Source organism: Homo sapiens, chromosome 19 (assembly GCF_000001405.40).
Source record: "Homo sapiens chromosome 19, GRCh38.p14 Primary Assembly".
Classification (NCBI taxonomy): domain Eukaryota; kingdom Metazoa; phylum Chordata; class Mammalia; order Primates; family Hominidae; genus Homo; species Homo sapiens.
The window spans coordinates 57,781,208-57,800,693 of NC_000019.10; the positions used below are offsets into that span (position 1 = coordinate 57,781,208).

At 44.6% G+C, this 19,486-nt stretch overlaps 4 annotated features.

Moving 5' to 3' along the window:
• Window positions 4,551-5,170: an enhancer, noted in NCBI's record as "H3K27ac-H3K4me1 hESC enhancer chr19:58297126-58297745 (GRCh37/hg19 assembly coordinates)". NCBI's record gives its function as "activates a minimal SCP1, AML or CMV promoter by ChIP-STARR-seq in naive H9 embryonic stem cells {active_cell/tissue: H9 hESC(naive)}" and the evidence as "EXISTENCE:reporter gene assay evidence [ECO:0000049][PMID:30033119]".
• Window positions 5,171-5,789: an enhancer, noted in NCBI's record as "H3K27ac-H3K4me1 hESC enhancer chr19:58297746-58298364 (GRCh37/hg19 assembly coordinates)". NCBI's record gives its function as "activates a minimal SCP1, AML or CMV promoter by ChIP-STARR-seq in naive H9 embryonic stem cells {active_cell/tissue: H9 hESC(naive)}" and the evidence as "EXISTENCE:reporter gene assay evidence [ECO:0000049][PMID:30033119]".
• Window positions 8,189-8,335: a silencer, noted in NCBI's record as "fragment chr19:58300764-58300910 (GRCh37/hg19 assembly coordinates)". NCBI's record gives its function as "represses an EF-1alpha promoter that drives an FKBP-Casp9 reporter gene in an ReSE screen in K562 erythroleukemia cells {active_cell/tissue: K562}" and the evidence as "EXISTENCE:reporter gene assay evidence [ECO:0000049][PMID:32094911]".
• Window positions 17,234-17,781: an enhancer, noted in NCBI's record as "H3K27ac hESC enhancer chr19:58309809-58310356 (GRCh37/hg19 assembly coordinates)". NCBI's record gives its function as "activates a minimal SCP1, AML or CMV promoter by ChIP-STARR-seq in primed H9 embryonic stem cells {active_cell/tissue: H9 hESC(primed)}" and the evidence as "EXISTENCE:reporter gene assay evidence [ECO:0000049][PMID:30033119]".

Consider the following 19,486-nt stretch of genomic DNA (forward strand, 5'->3'; position numbering starts at 1 on the left):
GAGTTTCACTTAATTATCTGAGAACTTAGAGCTTACTGTCCTCTACTTACTATCCACTGAGACTTAATGTGTTCTTGGCCATCACAGAAACTTTACTAGCTACTTATGCCATTGTCAATGGATAACTCTCTGAATCCACATTAATAACTTTGTAATTAGCTTAGTCCTCAGCTGTTTTTCAGAGATAATCCCCAGTCTTCATGCAGACACTATCACTGCACCTACAGGTGAAATGATAATCACTTCCTAGCAAGGAGGTTGGATCATGGAATACAAGATAATTTCTCAGGAATCAGATGGTCTTATTCCACACCTGCAGGAATGTCAGCATTGCAACCACCATGGCAAATATTGATTTAATAAACAATTACTATTCCCAGATAAGTGTCAAAATCTTAGAAGAAATTGTCATATCTTAGACAATTTAGAAGTGATGGAGGGTGGATGATGAGAAATTATCGCACCACTGCACTCCAGCCTGGGCGACAGAGCAAGACTCTGTCTCAAAAAAAAAAAAAAAAAAAAAGCTTTACTCACATAAAGTGAAGAACAAGAAGACTTTTTTGAGTAGATGTTTAGTGTCCTTATAACATTTTTTGTATATGCATTTTTATCCTTTTGGGAACATGATTTACAAATGCGAGCTGCAGGGCTATTGCATTAACGTGTTGAATGCAAGAGTTAAAACTTCCTGTCCCATTTAGTGAATGGAAAAATACTTAAGTTACATGAATAAAAATTGTAAATTACAAATAGCAAGATAGTTAAGGATGTAAAACATGTCAATCCCTAAATGTTACTTAATGACATCATGTTTTATAGGTACATTTTATTTTCAGTTACTAGTATTTTATTCCCTTGCTGGAAAGATGTCCAGTGATTCTGAATCAATACAGGTGTGTGGGATGTCATCTAGAAGTCATAAAATGGCTTATTCAGATTAACCATGTTATGACCACTCACACTCGCTGATACATATCTTCCTGTCACTTCCGTGGAGAGTGAAATTTTCTCTTTTATTTTTTATTCTTTGAGACAGAGTTTCACTCTTGTTGCCCAGGCTGGGGTGCAATGGCGTGATCTCAGCTCACTGCAACCTCCACCTCCCAGGTTCAAGTCATTCTCCTGTCTCAGCCTCTAGAGTAGCTGGGATTACAGGTGCCCACCACCATGCCCGGATAATTTTTGTATCTTTAGTAGAGACGGGGTTTTGCTATGTTGGCCAGGCTGGTCTCAAACTCCTGACGTCAGATGATCCGCCTGCCTCAGCCTCCTAAAGTGCTGGGAGTACAAGCGTGCGCCACCACGCCCAACCAAAATTTTCTTGATAACACCCTAATTATATTCCCACAAAACCTTTGTAGTCAGAGAAAATCTGTAGTTTATAAAGACAAAGTTTTTAGTAATGAGAGCACTTTTAGGATCTGTAGGCTCTTGTCTGTATAATTAATACAACATTTCTTTTTTTTTTTTTTTTTTTTTTTTTTGAGACAAAGTTTTGCTCTTGTTGCCCAGGCTGGAGCGCAGTGGCACGATCTTGGCTCCCTGCAACCTCCGCCTCCTGGGTTCAAGCGATTCTCCTGCCTCGGCCTCCCGAGTAGCTGGGATTACAGTTGTCCACCACCACACCCAGCTAATTTTTTGTATATTTAGTAGAGACGAGGTTTCACCATGTTGACCAGGCTGGTCTTGAACTTCTGACCTCAGGTGATCCACCCGCCCCAGCCTCCCAAAGTGCTGGGATTACTGGCGTGAGCCACCGTGCCCGGCCTGTTCTGCTTATATATGACTAAAATTTATGTGAAAATTTCTGTATAAGGCCAGGCTTGGTGGCTCACGCCTGTAATCCCAGCACTTTGGGAGGCCAAGGTGGGTGGATCACCTGAGGTCAGGAGTTCGAGAACAGCCTGACCCACATGGAGAAACCCCATCTGTACTAAAAATACAAAATTAGCTGGGCTTGGTGGCGCATGCCTATAATCCCAGCTACTTGGGAAGGCTGAGGCAGGAGAATCGCTTGAACCTGGGAGGTGGAGTTTGCGGTGAGCCGAGATCACGCTGTTGCACTCCAGCCTGGGCAACAAGAGCAAAATTCCGTCTCAAAAAAAGAAAAAGAAAATTTCTGTACAAAATATTTAGATTTCCTTCCTATTCTCAATATATTAGTGTGCTTTATCATTCTAACTTTTTGGTATTTTGATTATGCTAGTAATTTCTTAGTTTTGTTCAATTTTAATGTGATATATAAATCAATATATTCCCTGATAAATTTTTACATAATTTATGTAAATTTGTTGTTGTTGGCCGGGCATGGTGGTTCACACCTGTAATCCCAGCACTTTGGGAGGCTGAGGCAGACAGATCATCTGAAGTCAGGAGTTTGAGACCAGCCTGGCCAACATGGCGAACCGTCTCTACTAAAAATAAAAAATTAGCCGGGTGTGGTGGCATGCACCTGCAGTCCCAGCTACTCGGGAGGCTGAGGCAGGAGAATTGCTTGAACCTGGGAGGTGGAGGTTGCAGTGAGCCAAGATGGCTCCACTGCACTCCAGCCTGGGTGATAGAGTGAAACTCCGTCTCAAAAAAATAAATAAATAAATAAATTTGTTGTAGTATATTTTCTCCTTGAATTACTTACTCTAAAACAAGTAACTTTACTAACCTCTACTTGGTCTACCTGGTTAATTAATTCTTTCTTTTTTTTTTTTCTTTTTTTTTTTTTTGAGACGGAGTCTCACTGTGGCCCAGGCTGAAGTGCAGTGGCACAATCTCAGCTCACTGCAACCTCTGCCTCCCAGGTTCAGGTGATTCTCCTACTTCAGCCTCCCGAGTAGCTGGGATTACAGGTGCCTGCCACCACGCCTGGCTAATTTTTCTATTTTTCGTAGAGATGAGGTTTCACCATTGTTGGCCAGGCTGGTCTTGAACTCCTGACCTCAGGTGATCCAGCCGCCTCGGCCTCCCAAAGTACTGGGATTACAGGCGTGAGCTACCATGCCCAGCCTAATTAATTATTTTTCAAATATCTTTAAACTGATCCAATTCATGATCCTAAAATGCACAGTGGCAAATGCTGTTAGAGTACATTATTCTACATACTGAATCTTCTGTTTCCATAGTTAAGTTTCTGGTTTATTAGGAGACATTTTTTTTTCTTTCCAGAATTTTAATGCAAGTTTTACTTTTTCAAATTAATAAAATGTTAGCAACAGAGAATAACTTGGGAAAACAAGTAGCATTTTTATTTCAATCATTCTTCATTTGAATGCACTAGGAAGCTGGAGAATTTTAGACTCTTAAGAAATTTACTTTAAAGCCAGGCACCATGGCTCTGTAGTCCCAGCTTCTCAGAAGGCTGAAACAGGAGGATTACATGAGCTCGAGTTTGAGTAAGGCCTGGGCGACATAGTCTCTTTAAAAAAATTCAGTTCATGCGGGTGCGGTGGCTCACGCCTGTAATCCCAGCACTTTGGGAGGCTGAGGCAGGCGGGTTGCCTGAGCTCAGGAGTTCGAGACCACCCTGGGCAAGACGGTGAAACCCTGTCTCTACTAAAATACAGAAAATTAGCCGGACGAGCCGGCATGTGCCTGTAGACCCAGCTACTCAGGAGGCTGAGGCAGGAGACTTGCTTGAACCCGGGAGGCGGAGGTTGCAGTGAGCCGAGATGTGCTACTGCACTCCAGCCTGGGCGACAGAGTGAGACTCATCTCAAATAAATAAGATAATAAAATCCAGTTCAGTAAAATGTGCCTGATAAAATATAAGTGACTACTGGCCTGGAGCAGTGGCTCACGCCTGTAATCCTAGCACTTTGAGAGGCCAAGGCAGGTGGATCACCTGAGGTCCGGAGTTTGAGACCAGCCGAGTCAACATGGTGAAACCCTGTCTTTACTAAAAAATACAAAAATTAACTGGGTGTGGTGGCACATTCCTGTAATCCTGGCTACTTGGGAGGCTGAGGCAGGAGAATTGCTTGAACCCTCCGGGCGGAGGTTGCAGTGAGCTGAGATCACACCACTGCACTCCAGCCTGGGCGACAGGGCAAGACACCGTCTCAACAAAACATATATATAAGTAATGAATGAATATTATGTCAATATTCTAAGTCAGAATGTTACTGTAATACTTTTTAATTCTCATTCCATTTAAAATAACTGGTTAATTTTCAAATCATAATGAAATTTTTACAAATTTATGTGTAGTACAAAGCATGCATATACATTCATATGTATTATATGTATATATAGCCTTTAAAAATATTTATGAGCTTTATGCCGGGCGCGGTGGCTCACGCCTGTAATCCTAGCACTTTGGGAGGCGGAGGCGGGCGGATCACGAGGTCAGGAGATCAAGATCATCCGGGCTAACACAGTGAAACCCCGTCTCTACTAAAAATACAAAAAAATTAGCCGGGCATGGTGGGCACCTGTAGTCCCAGCTACTCGGGAGGCTGAGGCAGGAGAATGGCGTGAACCCGGGAGGCGAAGCTTGCAGTGAGCCGAGATCGCGCCACTGCACTCCAGCCTGGGCTACAGAGCCAGACTCCGTTCTAAAAAAAAAAAAAAAAAAAAAAAAAAAAAAATATATATATATATATATATATATATATATATATATATACACACACACACACACACACTAGCTTTAGCTTCCAGTAGATGCAATTTATGTCTTTATGACCCTATGTAATGAAATGTCCATTTTGATTCGTGGCTCTTGATGGCATCTCAAATGATGTCTTAGATCTGCGAAGAAGCTCAGCATCACAAATTCTGAAATAAGTCTCCAAACACACGGGTAATCGGTTGCACACAGTACCCGCAGAAATGCGCGTATGGCCTCTTCTAAGATGGGGGAGCCTCCTCTGCAACTGGACCTGGAGTTGCCATTTCCTAACGCCCGTCGCGGTGGAGCTTAGCCCCTTCTTCCGAAAGTCAGGTTGGAGGCGGCCTTTAAGCGCCGCGCGTCTCTCGGAACTTAAATATTACCCGGAATCGTCTCTGTGAATTGGAAAGCCCATTGAAGCCTCAGAGAAGCCGCGCCATTGCGGAGGCACGTAACGTCAAGCAGGGACTTCCTGCGTCCTCGCCGCGGTGGCCATTTTGGCTTGTCGGGACCATCCACCTATGCTGCGTCTGTACCTCTTTGTCAGGACCGAGAGCGCGCGAGAGGAGTGGTTGTGCCCATTGCACACAGGCGGATCTGAGGCTTGGCGACGCCGCTGGTCGCGACCTGGGACAGGACGAGCACAGGAACCGCCTGGCCTGCGTCCCCGCCCGCGCATGAAGTCGTGGCGGCGGCCGCTCAAGTGAGCCCTGCGACCTCCAGGCCTCACCCGCCATCCCCACACAGACCCTGAGACCCCTGACTGTGAGGGGCGCTTCCTCGCGTCCTTGCAGCTCAGGCCTCTGTCAGGGACCTAGAGGCGCCGGCGGGTGGAATCCCTGTTTCCGACACCGGTTGATGCGGTCGGGAGAGCGAGACTGGCCGAGGGACCGGCTTAGGCAAAGGCCTGGAGGCACGACTGCGCCAGGAGGATTCGGAACACAGGGACATCTTGTGTCCACTGAGAACAAAGTATGAGTCGGAGTTATTTCCTCAGTACCAGGCTGAGGATTGATCTTTGTGAGGACCGTAGAAGCCATGGACAGTTTTGAACAAAGGAGGAAATCTGTGTTAGAGTTAAAGATTCCGAAAAGATGTTCAAAGGAAGAACGGAGTGTAAGGCGGTGATGAGGACAGTGAGGCATTGAGAGGTTGAATATTTGCTCAAGGTCACGTAGCTGGTAAGAGGTGACATTGAGCACTGGGCCACAAGATTAGAGACTCAGCCTGAGGTCACCTGGCTACAGGGCCAAAAAAAGCTTACAGAGAAACCTGAGTCTATCAAATCCCAGCAGGGACACATTCCTGAAAGCTCCGCCTTTTGGCACACCTTCTCATGGCTATGGAAGTATTTAAGGAACCCACAGAAGGAAGTATAGGATGCTCTAGTCCCTCACTGGTCCTCATCCTCACCTATATGTCTAGATCTTAATGTCCTGGGAATTTATTTATTTAGCGACAGAGTGTCACTCTTGGTACCCAGGTTGGAGTGCAGTGACGCGATCATGGCTCAGCATAGTCTTGACCTCCCCAGGCTCAGGTGATCCTCCCATCTCAGTCTCCCGAGAAACTGGCTAATGTTTGTGTTTTTAATAGAGACGGGGTTTTGCCATGTTGCCTAAGATGGTCGAAAACTCCTGGGCTCAAGCAATCCTCCCGCCTTGGCCTCCTAAAGTGCTGGGATTACAGGCGTGAGCCGCTGGTCTGGCCAGGCCTCCTAGGACTCTTAAGTGCAATTTCTCCTGTCCTTCGATCTGGGGATCTTGCAAAATCCTCAAACCCCAAACCTAAGTCACTGACACAGGCTATGGAGAAGTGTTTTCATGTCTGTCGACCGGTGGGAAACACATGTGGTGGATTAACCCAGGAATGATACTGGGATGTGGAAATGGCTTAGAAGTGAAACTGGAGAGGCCGGGCGTGGTGGCTCTCGCCTGTAATCCCAGCACTTTGGGAGGTCAAGGCGGGTGGATCGCTTGAGGTCAGGAGATCTAGACCAGTCTGGCCAACATGGTAAAACCCAGTCTCTACTAAAAATACAAAAATCAGCTGGGCATGGTGGCGGGTGCCTGGAATCTCAGCTACTCGCAGGCTGAGGTGTAAGACTCCCTTGAACCTGGGAGATGGAGGCTGCAATGAGCCAAGATTGTGCCAATCTGCACTCGAGCCTGAGCAACAAAGTGAGAATCCATCGCGAAAAAAAAAAGAAAGTGAAACTGGAGGGGGTTAAATGATGTTACCAGTGTTTTAACAGGTTCTGTCTGGTTACAGAGTGGACAACAGACTGTGGGGTTGAGGGAGGAGGAAGATCAAACTGGAAGCTACTGCCCTAGTCCAGATGCTCAAATCCTGACAGTCTTTTCCCTGACCAGTCTCCATCCTGAAGTTATCTAGGGGTTACCAACCATCATTCAACTCATTACCATTCAAAGTCACTTATAAATTTGAGAGTTTCATGAATTTTAGGAGTTCCATGCCAGGAAAGGAGATGACCAAATATATATTTCACAATACCACAGCCATGTTAAGATTCTGAAATGTAATAGATAATACTTAGTGGAGCTATCAAATGGGCACCTAAACCCATGGATGCAAATATCTGGGGAAGGGTTAATATTGGAGCTATCCAATATATGGTAGCCACTGTGTGGAGCAAGATGAGTGAGTCATGGATCACATTTGGAAGGGGCAACCTTCAGATTATGGTGGTGACACTACTAGGAAGACAGGAAGTGGAGGTTGGGTTGCCTGCTTGTGTACCTGGTGATGGTATTGTACTTCAGAAAACAGGTGAGGGAGGTAAATGGCCATGAAGGGAGAATATATCTGGTAGCCTAGTTTGGCAGGTGACATAGGCTTCCAAGGAATGAATAGACATGAGATGCAAGCAGAAGCATAGGAGTAGCTGAGGGAAGATGACACTCAGCCTGGACCTTGTGCTAATTCGCCACTCTGTGGCCACACCACGATATTGAGATGACTTTTGTGGGGCCTGGGGTGTTTCATTCAGCCTGGTGGATATGGAGGCAAATAAGGTCACCTTGTGAGAGTCACTAGGCCCGAGATTGACGGCCAATGGGTCTAGGCTTTGAATGGAGTTAGGTGGACAGAAGAAAGTCATAATTTCTGAAGATAACAAATGCAGCACAGAAGTGGAATAGGGCCATGAATACCTGAAAACACTAACGTTCTTTTTTCCTGTGGATTTATGCATGGAGGGCTTCGTATAATGACTTGGTACTACCACTGCTATTAGGAACCATTGGAATTCTGTGATAATTTTGGATTGCTTTTTAATTCACCAAGACTACTGTGGATGATGTCAGCCACATTATGGTGTGAGCCCTAAATTTAAGGTCAATATCATGTGCTACCTTCATATCTGGTGATACTAGTATTACCTCAAATGGTCTGAGTACAAATCCCCCTTCCCACTCTGCTCTTTTGTATAATGTGTCCTAGCCTAACTACCCTTTTAATCAAGAGGACTAAGCAGAGTTCCTGTTTATTATTTATTTGTAGCAAGTTTGAATTTCATTTCTACACACAGAGTTAATTCAAACAAGCCAGTTACAGCTGGGTGTGGTGTCGCACACCTATGGTCCCAGCCACTCGGGAGGCTGAGGTAGGAGGATCCCTGAAACCTGGAAAGTTCAGGCTGCAGTGAGCTGTAATTGCACCACTACGCTCCAGCAGGAGTGACAGAGCGAGACCCTGTCTCAAAAATTAAAAACAAGCCAGTTGCATCCTTTCAAGGGAATCAGGGGCTATCACACCTTCTTGATTCAGAAAAGCTTACATACCACAGTCCCTGGTTGCTCTCTCTTATGCATAGTGCAACCCCCATGTGGCTATCTGTGGTGAGTGGTGTCCTCTTCTCTCAAGTTGTGAGCATATTTGATTAATTAACTTTCTTGATGACTTATGTTCAGCATCAGGTGTTGTGTGTTTGGCCATCACTATAACCCTAGGGTAAGACTCCTACCCTTATCAGTAGAAGAAAGGGGGAATAAAATACTTTAACTTCTGGCAAGGCCAGAGAGAGGTCTATGGTGTGGGGGAGTTAGGTGTTGGTGGCAATTGACATGTGTCTTTGGTGTCCAAAGATGGGAAGGATGTATAGGTACACAGGGATTATGTTTGAAGGTTCTTAGGCACTGCATTGGGATTCATGTGACCTTTGCTATACCAGGGGAATTGCTAGAAAGGAGGGGATGGAACCCCTTATTTCAGGATCACAGCATAGATATCTATTTGTTTATCTGCCTCTTGTTGCTGATGGCTATGTGTCATGATCAGTGGTCCCATGAGGACACAGTGGCACTAGTGGGCAAAGTTTCTCCTCTGAGTTGGGGATCCTGGGAGAAGGAGGATGGGCAAGGGTAGATATGTTGGGGAAGTGGATTGTGGGTCTTCAGCACAGGGGCCATTTATGGTTTCATCTATCCCCATCATAACAGAGCAGTGTGACCTTTGAAGACGTGGCTGTAAACTTTTCCCTGGAGGAATGGAGTCTTCTTAATGAGGCTCAGGGATGCCTGTACCATGATGTGATGCTGGAGACCTTGACACTTATATCCTCCCTGGGTAAGGTACTCATACTTAACTGTGACCTGAGTTAGTCTCTGCCCCTCCCCTTTATTCCTCTTGGTAATAACGTCTTTCTCACATCAGGACTGTGGCACAGCTTCATTCTCCAATTCTCTGGATCAGTTCTGTGGTTGGTAGTACTGAGATACATGTACTGCCCTCTCCTTTCCTTGAGCAGCCCCAGTCTGCTTTGTTGCAGGCTCCCAGGGAAAGAGTTAGGGTCAGGAGTCTTAAAGTCACCCTAATGCATCCCACCTTGGTTGTCTTCTGCCTTTCTGGGTGACTGTGCAGATCTAAGACTTCTTTTTTTGAGACGGAGTCTCGCTCTGTCGCCCAGGCTGGAGTGCAGTGGCGCAGTCTCGGCTCACTGCAAGCTCTGCCTCCCGGGTTCATGCCATTCTCCTGCCTCAGCCTCCCGAGTAGCTGGGACTACAGGCGCCCGCCACCACGCCCGGCTAATTTTTTGTATTTTTAGTAGAGACGGGATTTCACCGTGTTCACCAGGATGGTCTCGATCTCCTGACCTCGTGATCCGCCCGCCTCGGCCTCCCAAAGTGCTGGGATTACAGGCATGAGCCGCCGCGCCCCGCCCCCATTGCATTTTTCAGCCTGCCTGTGTCCCTTGCCAGACTTATGTGACTGCCAGTTATCTTGCAAAAAGCATTTCACCTTTACCACTTGGCAGGTACTCACAGTTTCATCACTCCCCTACCTCATTATGATCCAGACGTAACTTTTTCTTTCATTCACCAGGGGGATTTTTTAGTATCCTCAGTACTCATTCCATTCTCAATTCTTTGTGTCTGATGAGGTAGGCCAAGGACCTGACTAATTTTTGGTGCAGAGAACTCTTCTGGTGATTTGAAAAGATGGACTACCTTTTTCAGGGATCTCTTGGATCTCACAGGATTCTTTTTTTTTTTTTTTAAGATGGAGTCCCGCTCTGTCACCCATACTGGAGTGCAGTGGCGCAATCTCGGCTCACTGCAAGCTCCACCTCCCGGGTTCACACCATTCTCCTGCCTCAGCCTCCCAAGTAGCTGGGACTACAGGTGCCCGCCACCACGCCCGGCTAATTTTTTTTTTTTTTTTTTTTTTGTATTTTCAGTAGAGATGGGGTTTCACTGTGTTAGCCAGGATGGTCTCGATCTCCTGACCTCGTGATCCACCTGCCTCAGCCTCCCAAAATGCTGGGATTATAGGCGTGAGCCACCGTGCCCGGCCCTCACAGCATTCTTAAGATAGAATTTTCCAGCCTGCCAGTCACAAATCAGACAGCCTGCCTGCCGCCTATTTCCCTTGTTTGTATTATAATAAAGACTCTGCTGCTTAAGACACCTTCAATCTTGAGAGCTGTATTTACAGTGTGGAATTGTTTGAACACTGGATTTGCAGATGGGCATGGTGGCTCATGCCTGTGATACCAGCACTTTGGGAGGCCGAGGCAGAAGGGTCAGTTGAGGTCAGGAGTTCCAGACCAGCCTGGCCAACATGCTGAAACCCCATCTCTACTAAAAATACAAAATTAGCCAGGCATCGTGGCATTCGCCTATAATCCCAGCTACTTGGGAGGCTGAGGCACAAGAATCACTTTAACCTGGGAGGTGGAGGCTGCAGTGAGCTCAGGTAATGCCACCCCATACCAGGATGAGCAACAAGAGCGAAACTATCTCAAAAATACCATAATTTTGGGGTTCATAGGTCAACCTGAAAGGGTGGCAGTTTTCATCACAATCTCTGGTGCTTCTGAGAGCAACATGAAATTGTTCTCTACTTCACAAGGGATGGTGCATTATGTTTCAGTGCTGTTGAGGGTACCTTCACAGGTTGTGAGGTTATAGTGGAAATGATAAGTTTTTCGGAATTACTGCATTTTAAAAGGGCTTCTACTATGATCCAGACATGGCTGTGAAGGATGAATACAAACAGAAATTCTCAGGACCTTCTTAATTGAATCTTATGTGGCTAAGGTCACTGCTGGAGAGAATAACCTAAAGATTTTGTTATTTGTGGTAGTCCTTCTAGTCTAATTGACCTAAAGGTCATTCCTGCATAGGCAGGAGGAAGAAGAAAGGGAGCAGGGATGTCCATTAGACCACTACGTGGCCCATCATGTGACCAGCCGTCATTCTTTCTGAATCATCTGGAAATGGTCTTTATTGTTCGTCATGTTTTTGTTACCATGAAGGCTAGTTGCCTCACTCAGGTTGAGGAGATGATACAGCAATAGTTAATAAACCTCTTGGAAAAATCAAGTCCAGATTTTTAAAATTACATTTTTAAAGCTGTAATAAGAAATAAATCACTTTTTTTTTTCTTTGAGATGGAGTCTCGCTCTTGTTGCCCAGGCTGGAATTCAGTGGCACGATCTTGGGTCACTGCAACCTCTGCCTCCCAGGTTCAAGCGATTCCCCTGCCTTAGCCTCCCGAGTAGCTGGGATTACAGGCACCTGCCACCATGCCCAGCTATTTTTTGTATTTTTAGTAGAGGTGAGGTTTCACCATGTTGGCCAGGCTGTTCTCAAACTCCTGGCCTCAGGTGATCCGCCCACCTCGGCCTCCCAAAGTCCTGGGATTACAGGCATTAGCCACCATGCCTGGCCAAAATAAATGACTTTCAAAAAAACTGCACATATTTATTTTTATTTATATTTATTTATTTATTTGAGACAGAGTCTGGCTCTGTCGCCCAGGCTGGAGTGCAGTAGCACAATCTCAGCTCACTGCAAGCTCCGCCTCCTGGGTTCATGCCATTCTCCTGCCTCAGCCTCCTGAGTAGCTGGGACTATAGGCGCCCACAGCCACGCCCGGCTAATTTTTCTATTTTTAGTAGAGACAGGGTTTCACCGTGTTAGCCAGGATGGTCTCGATCTCCTGGCCATGTGATCCGCCTGCCTCGGCCTCCCAAAGTGCTGGGATTACAGGCATGAGCCCCCGTGCCTGGCCAAAACTGCACATATTTAAACTGTAAAGTGTGATAAGTTTTGACATTAATAAGCCTGTAATATGATCCATCACCTTCATATTTACCTGGAGTCTGGTAACGTCTTTACCTCTGCCTTCCAGATGACCATTGATAACTTTGCTTTATAATAGATTATTTTACATTTTCTACATTTTTATACGTGATTTGATGTCGTGAAGTGTTTAATCTTTATCCCTGGATGGTATCGTGCGGTATATTTATTTTGAGATTTGTCAGTGATGATACTTGAGTAGTTCACTCCTTTTTATATTGCTGAGATGACATGCTATGAAATATCACTGTATATTCATTCATCTGTTTATACATCATTAATCTATTTCTCATTTTTGGCTTCCATAAATAAAACTACAGACACTTTAGTACAGTTCTTTATGTAAATATGTTTCTTTTTTATGTGTTACTATCTGGGGGTTCAATAACTGAATCAGAATAGGTAAATCTATAGCTTTTTGTTTGTTTGTCTGTTTTGAGATGGAGTCTCGCTCTGTCACTCAGGCTGGAGTGCAGTGATGCAATCTCGGCTCACTGCAACCTCTGCCTCGTGGGTTCAAGCAATTTTCCTGGCTCACCCTCCGAAGTAGCTGGGACTACAGGCACATGCCACCATGCCCAGCTAATTTTTTTGTATTTTTAGTAGAGGTGAGGTTTCACCATCTTGGCCACGCTGGTCTTGAACTCCTGACCTCGTGATCTACCTACCTCAGCCTCCCAAAGTGCTGGGATTATAGGCATGAGCCACTGCATCCAGCAAATGTATAGCTTTTTAGGCAACACCAAAGTGTACTGTAAAATTAATATGGTTGTTCCCTTTAGTGTTACTGTCACCAGTGTCCATGAATTCCACTTTCATGTTTTTATCGATACAGAATATGGATAGTCTTTTTTTTTTTTTGAGACAAAGCCTCTCTCTGTCGCCCAGGATAGAGTGCAGTGGCGTGATCTCGGCTCACTGCAACCTCCGCCTCCTGAGTTTGAGCAATTCTTCTGTCTCAGCCTCCCTAGTAGCTGGGACTACAGATGCATGCCACCACGCCCGGCTAATTTTTTTGTATTTTTATTAGAGACAGGGTTTCACCATGTTAGCCAGGAGGATCTTGATCTCGTGATCCACCTACCTCAGCCTCCCAAAGTGCTAGGATTACAGGCGTGGGCCACCACACCCGGCCAATTTTTTGTATTTTTAATAGAAATGGGGTTTCACCCTGTTAGCTAGGATGGTCTCAATCTCTTGACATTGTGATCTGCCCGCCTCAACCTCCCAATGTTCTGGGATTACAGGTGTGAGCCACCGTGCCCAGCAGAGAATATGGATAGTCTTTTAAATTTTTACCCTTTTTTATAAGTGGATGTTCCTTCTTTAGTAAAATGTCTATTTATATATTTTGCTTGCTTTTTAAATTCTTATTTATTTTTAGAGAAAAGATCTTGCTCTGTCACCCAGCCAAGAGGGCAGTAGTTTGATCATAGCTCACTGCAACCTCAACCTCCTGGGCTCAAGCGTCCTCCCACCCCAGCCTCCTGAGTAACTGGGACTACAGGCACATGCCAGCACACCCACCGAATTTTTAAATTTTTTTGTAGAGACAGGATCTCATTATGTTGCTCAGGCTGGCCTTAAACTCCTAGGCTCAAGCAATCCTCTCACCTCACCCTCTCAAAGCACTATGTCTGGCAACTCATTTTCTTCTTCTCAAATGTATTTTGCCTATTTCCGTTTTCATTAAGAAATAAAATATGGTTGGGCCAGTGGCTCACGCCTATAATCCTAGCACTTTGGGAGGTCGAGGTGGGTAGATCACCTGAGATCAGGAGTTCAAGACCAGCCTGACCAACATGGTGAAACCCCATCTCTACTAAAAATACAAAAATTAGCCAGGCATGGTGGCGGGCTAATCCCAGCTACTCGGGAGGCTGAGGCAGGAGAATCACCTGAACCTGGGAGACAGAATTTGCAGTGAGCTGAGATGGCACAACTGTACTCCAGCCTCAGCAACAAGAGCAAAACTCCGTCTCAAAAAAAAAAAACAAAAAAAAACCAGGGGTCACATCATTGACCCTTCTCTCTCTCTCCCTCACCTACAACATGCAAAGATCTACTTGTTCCTTTATTAAAAATATAGGTAGAATGTCTCCTTTTCTCCCATCTGCACGGCATTCACCTGGTCCATCAACTCATCTGAATTATGCTGGTAAACTTCCCTCCGTGCTAACTGCCTCCTCATTAATCCAGGAGTCTGTTCTCCTCCAGTGTGCAACCAGATAGATCCTATGAACATCTGGATTAGACCACCTCTTTCCCCATCCAAGCATCCCAGCATCTCCAAAACAGATGCCCAGCTTTTCAGGCAACCACATTACAGGCCTGAATCTTGACCCGGCTTCTTGTTCCTATGAGAAAGAATAGATGCCTGTCGTACATAGGTCCCAGCTCAGTCACACCTCAAAGCATTTGCACAAAATGGTATGAATTCCTAAAATAGCTTTCTACACCTGTTTCCATTGGTTGCCAGAAATAAGAACACTTCTATTAATCCTTGGCTGGTACTCAGGACTCTGAGCTTGGTGTATCCACAGGTTCTCCACGCCAAGAACTGGGAAAACATCAAGTGAACACTCAAGACACCATAATCTCAGACACCACACAGGTAGTGTCAGGTTCAGGGAGAGACTGGGACACTTTCTCTTTCCCTGTGTTGGCACCATAAGCATTTTCAGTGTTCAGAACCCATGAAAATAAGGCAACTGTGACCAGCTCCAGCTGATCAAACCTCCATTGATCCCTACACAACCGTAAAGCCAGGGGCCCTGGGGCTAACTAATTAACTGATTTCAATCCTCAGTGCTCCTTCTTACCACCTATGGCCTAGAAAGAAGACTCCACTTCTCAGTGCCTCATTGTCCTCATCATCCTTATTCCAGTCTGTTCTCTGAGAGGCTTTTGTAAACTTTTAAAGTTCTACCAAGGACATGACCCTCTTCTGTTCACAAATCTCCATACATCCCAGGACACTCAGATTGAAGGCACAACCCCTAAGACAACCAATACAGGTGTGACTCTGGCTCATCTTCAGTTTTTACTAGGGCCTTTTTTTTTTTTTGAGAGACGGGGTCTCACTATGTTGCCCAAGCCTGTCTTAAACTTCTGGACTTATGTGATCATGACACAACATGGTTACCAGGTTCTGAAATGTTCATGGCTCAGATGCACCTCCAAGCCTTTGCACCTATTGGTTCCTCTACCTGTATTACTCTACCTGGGGTGAAGCCTGTAATACACAGCATTTACCTGAGCTAGGTCCCTCAGTGTGGCTGCTGCCATCAACTGTGGGTGGAGTAGGCATCACCCCAGCCAGTGCCTATGAGCCTCAGACCTGCCACTTGGGAGCAGAGATGACTACTCCTCTTGTGCCTTCTCAGTCCCAACCCAGTACTCCCTGGCCTGACAAGCATGCCCAGAAATCCCTCATCCTGGGCCTTGCAACTAGCACCTTCTGGGTAAAGTACTTCTCAGAGCTCTCAGCCAACAATGGTGGTATCCTCCAAGAGCAAACCGAATGCAGACCATGTTACACTCTGAGGGCTGCTGGAAAGCCCTGCTCACACCTCAAGGGAGGAAGACTATTGATTCTTTGTAAAAGCGTCAAATAGGTATCACATAAGACTCTAGGAAGCTCATCCTGCACCCAGAGAATAAAAAAACTATTTGAGATGCTCCCAAACTTTACTTATCTAAGTGGCCATATCATTGGCATCATTCAGACTTACAATGTGTGCACTCAGAGCTGAGAACATTAAGTATTGATTGCTCTTTAAATTCATGTTACCCAAATTATTACAGTCAGTTTTGTGAGTTTCATTGTTTTGTTGGGAACGAAAGAAAATTGTCCATAAGACATAATGACAGGATGGGTACAAAAAACAGTTAGAAAAAATGAATAAGACCGAGTATTTGCTACCATAACAGGGTGGCTGTAGTCAAAATAATTTAATCATACATATGAAAATCACTAAAAGGGTATAATTGGATTGTTTATAATACAAAGGATAAATGCTTGAGGTGATGGAGACACCATTAACCCTGATGTGATTATTACATATGGCATGACTACATCAAAATATCTCATGTAATCTACAAATATATACACTATTATATACCCACAAAAAATAAAAATAAAGGCTGGGTGCCATGGCTCACACCTGTAATCCCACCACTTCAGGAGGCCTGAGGTCGGGAGTTTGAGACCAACCTGGCCAACATGGAGAAACCACGTCTCTACTGAAAATACAAAATCAGCTGGGCATGGTGGTACATGCCTATAATCCCAGCTACTCGGGAGGCTGAGGCAGGACAATCGCCTGAACCCTGGAGGTGGAGGCTACGGTGAGCCGAGATCGTGCCATTGCACTCCAGCCTGGGCAACAAGAGCGAGACTGTCTCAAAAAATAATAATAAAATAAAAAAATAAAATAAATTGCTGGACACAGTGGCTCACACCTGTAATCCCAGCACTTTGGGAGGCTGGGGGCAGGCGCATCACGAGGTCAGGAGTTCGAGACCAGCCTGACCAATATGGTGAAACCCCGTCTCTACTAAAAATACAAAAATTAGCCGGGCATAGTGGTAGGTGCTTGTAGTCCCGGCTACTCAGGAGGCTGAGGCCGGAGAATTGCTTGAACCCGGGAGGTGGAGGTTGCAATGAGCTGAGGTCACGCCACTGCACTCCAGTCTGAGCAACAGAGCTAGACTCCTTCTCAAAAAAATAAAATAAATTAAAAAAAAATAATAAAGATGTAATGACAGGGAAATAGACAGATGTTGATACACCCTGAAGCAGGTAGTGAAGCTGGCAGTTGGCCACTGGTTCCCACAGAAAATTGCTCTAGTGATGCTAGCAAATCCCAAAATTGGGGCTCAATCCAGGAGGATTCCTGGCTTCATAAAGGAAATAATTCAAGAGCAAGCCAAGAGTGTAAAGTGAAGGCAAAGCAAGTTTATGAGAGCAAGAGAACAGGAAAATGGCTGCTCCACAGACAGAGCAGGGCTACTCCACAGGCAAAGTAGCACCCGTGGATTGTTGGCTAGCTATATTTATAGCTACTCCTTAATTATGTGCTAAATAAGAGGTCGGTTATTCATGAACTTTCTAGAAAAAGGTTGGAGAGTTCCCAGAACCAGGGGTTCCTTCTCTTTTAAACTACATGAGGTAGCTTCTGGGCATTGCCATAGCATTTGTAAACGGCCATGGTGCTGGTGGGAGTGTCTTTTAGCATGCTAATACATTATAATGAGCATATAATGAGCAATGAGGGCAACTAGAATTGATGTTCATTGCCATCTCAGTTTCACTGCTTTCAGCTGGTTTCTTTAGTGCATCCTGTTTTGACCAGATCCTGTTTCATCATGAGCAGGGTCATGACCACTGCTCAGAAACAAGTCCTGCTGACCTATGTCACTGTTTGAAATGCTTATTCTTCAGTGCCATAAAGAAATAGCACTTGAGGCCAGGCATGGTGGCTCACGCCTGTAATCCCGCACTTTGGGAGGCCGAGGCCGGCGGATCACGAGGTCAGGTGATCAAGACCATTCTGACTAACATGGTGAAACGCCGTCTCTACTAAAAATACAAAAAATTAGCTGGGCGTGGTGGCGGTCACCTGTAGTCCCAGCTACTGGGGAGGCTGAGGCAGGAGAATGGCATGAACCCGGGAGGCAGAGCTTGCAGTGAGCCGAGATCGTGCCAATGTACTCCAGCCTGGGCGACAGAGCAAGACTCCGTCTCAAAAAAAAGAAAGAAATAGCACTTGAACATAGATGTATTTCATAAGGCCATTTTTACTTCCTGCAGAAAGGGTGCACTCGCCAGCAGTTTTGCAACAGGAGCACACTGAACAAAGAAGACAGGGTCATTTATAACCTGAGGCGTTCACCCTCCTGCCGGTTTCCATTGCCTGGAACAGGACCTCATATTCTGTATGTGTCCTGATTGGCTAGCAACTTAGAACCTTTTAAGAGGCAAAGGTAGAGGAGAACAAAGAAAGGAGGAAGTAACTTGTGGAATGCTGAGAAAGGTAAAAACACTTTTAAATAAGGAAGAGGAACAGGCTATGACCTAATGCTTGCTTGGAGCAGTATAAGCATGTCAGGGCAAATATTTAGGCTAAATTGTCAGAGCTAAGAACATAAAGTACATTGATTTCTTTATTATGGCTAGCAGATATTTAAGAATGCTAGCACAAGTCTTTCAATAAATTTCGCTTTTAAGAGAAGTTACTATTTATTCCTAATTAGATGGGGAGGAAAGTCTTTGAAGAGGAAACTGTACTTTACTTTTAACAATATTCCCCCTCTTTTTATTTCATAATTCCTCTTCAAACTTATTTAATGTTTTGACTTAATTGCTTTTTTTGTCCTTCTAAGAGAAGTAATTTTTTTTTAATAGGGAGGAGGAGAGTTAGCAGTTAACTCTGTAACAGTGGCAGAGACAAGTTTTTGTATAAAACTTTGAAGGTAGGGAATATTATAACAGCCTACAAGAATAAGTACACTAATAACAAGAGTGAACAAGGTGAGAATTGAAGTTAAAATTTCTTTTTATTCACTGAACTAATGTTTTATTATTTTAGAAAAGGGGTTATTTATTTTACAATTCTTGGCAAATTTATCGGATAGGGCTGTTAACCTTGGTAGCGCTTTTGTTATAGTTCTATCAGGGGCAGTATTATTAGGAACAAAGGTACAATACTGAGTTTTGTATAAAACATTTAATTTATTGGTCTTTGTGGGGAATTAGACGCATTACCACTCTGTTACAACTGAGGCATTAATTTTGTAGCTTCACCAACATTAATTGGTTTGCTTTCATGACACTGCTGAGGAATCAATTCTTTCTGCAGAGGTTCTGAGTTTTAATTATGACACAAACATCTCCTTTTTCTGCTAATTATTTAAAGCTATTTTATTTTTCTACGCCATCTGGCTAGTAGATCCTAATTGCTTAGCTATCTGTTTGATGGTATCCTCAGTGTAATTTATGAATTGTTGGTGATTGTAACATAGCTTAGTCTACATTTTTTTATAGTTACCAGAATGATGTGGATTTAAATTCTGCAGCTATTTGATTTTGTGCTTTAAACTTATCGGGCACTTCTCACAGGACCTTAATAGCATTTATGTAAACCTGAGGATTAAAGGACTCATACGTTTTTCTTGGCCTGTGGTGTTTTGTTTTTACCTTTGTAGATTGATGAAATGCCAGGATGAAGGGGATACCCAATTGGATTACAGCACAAGTACTGCTCCAATT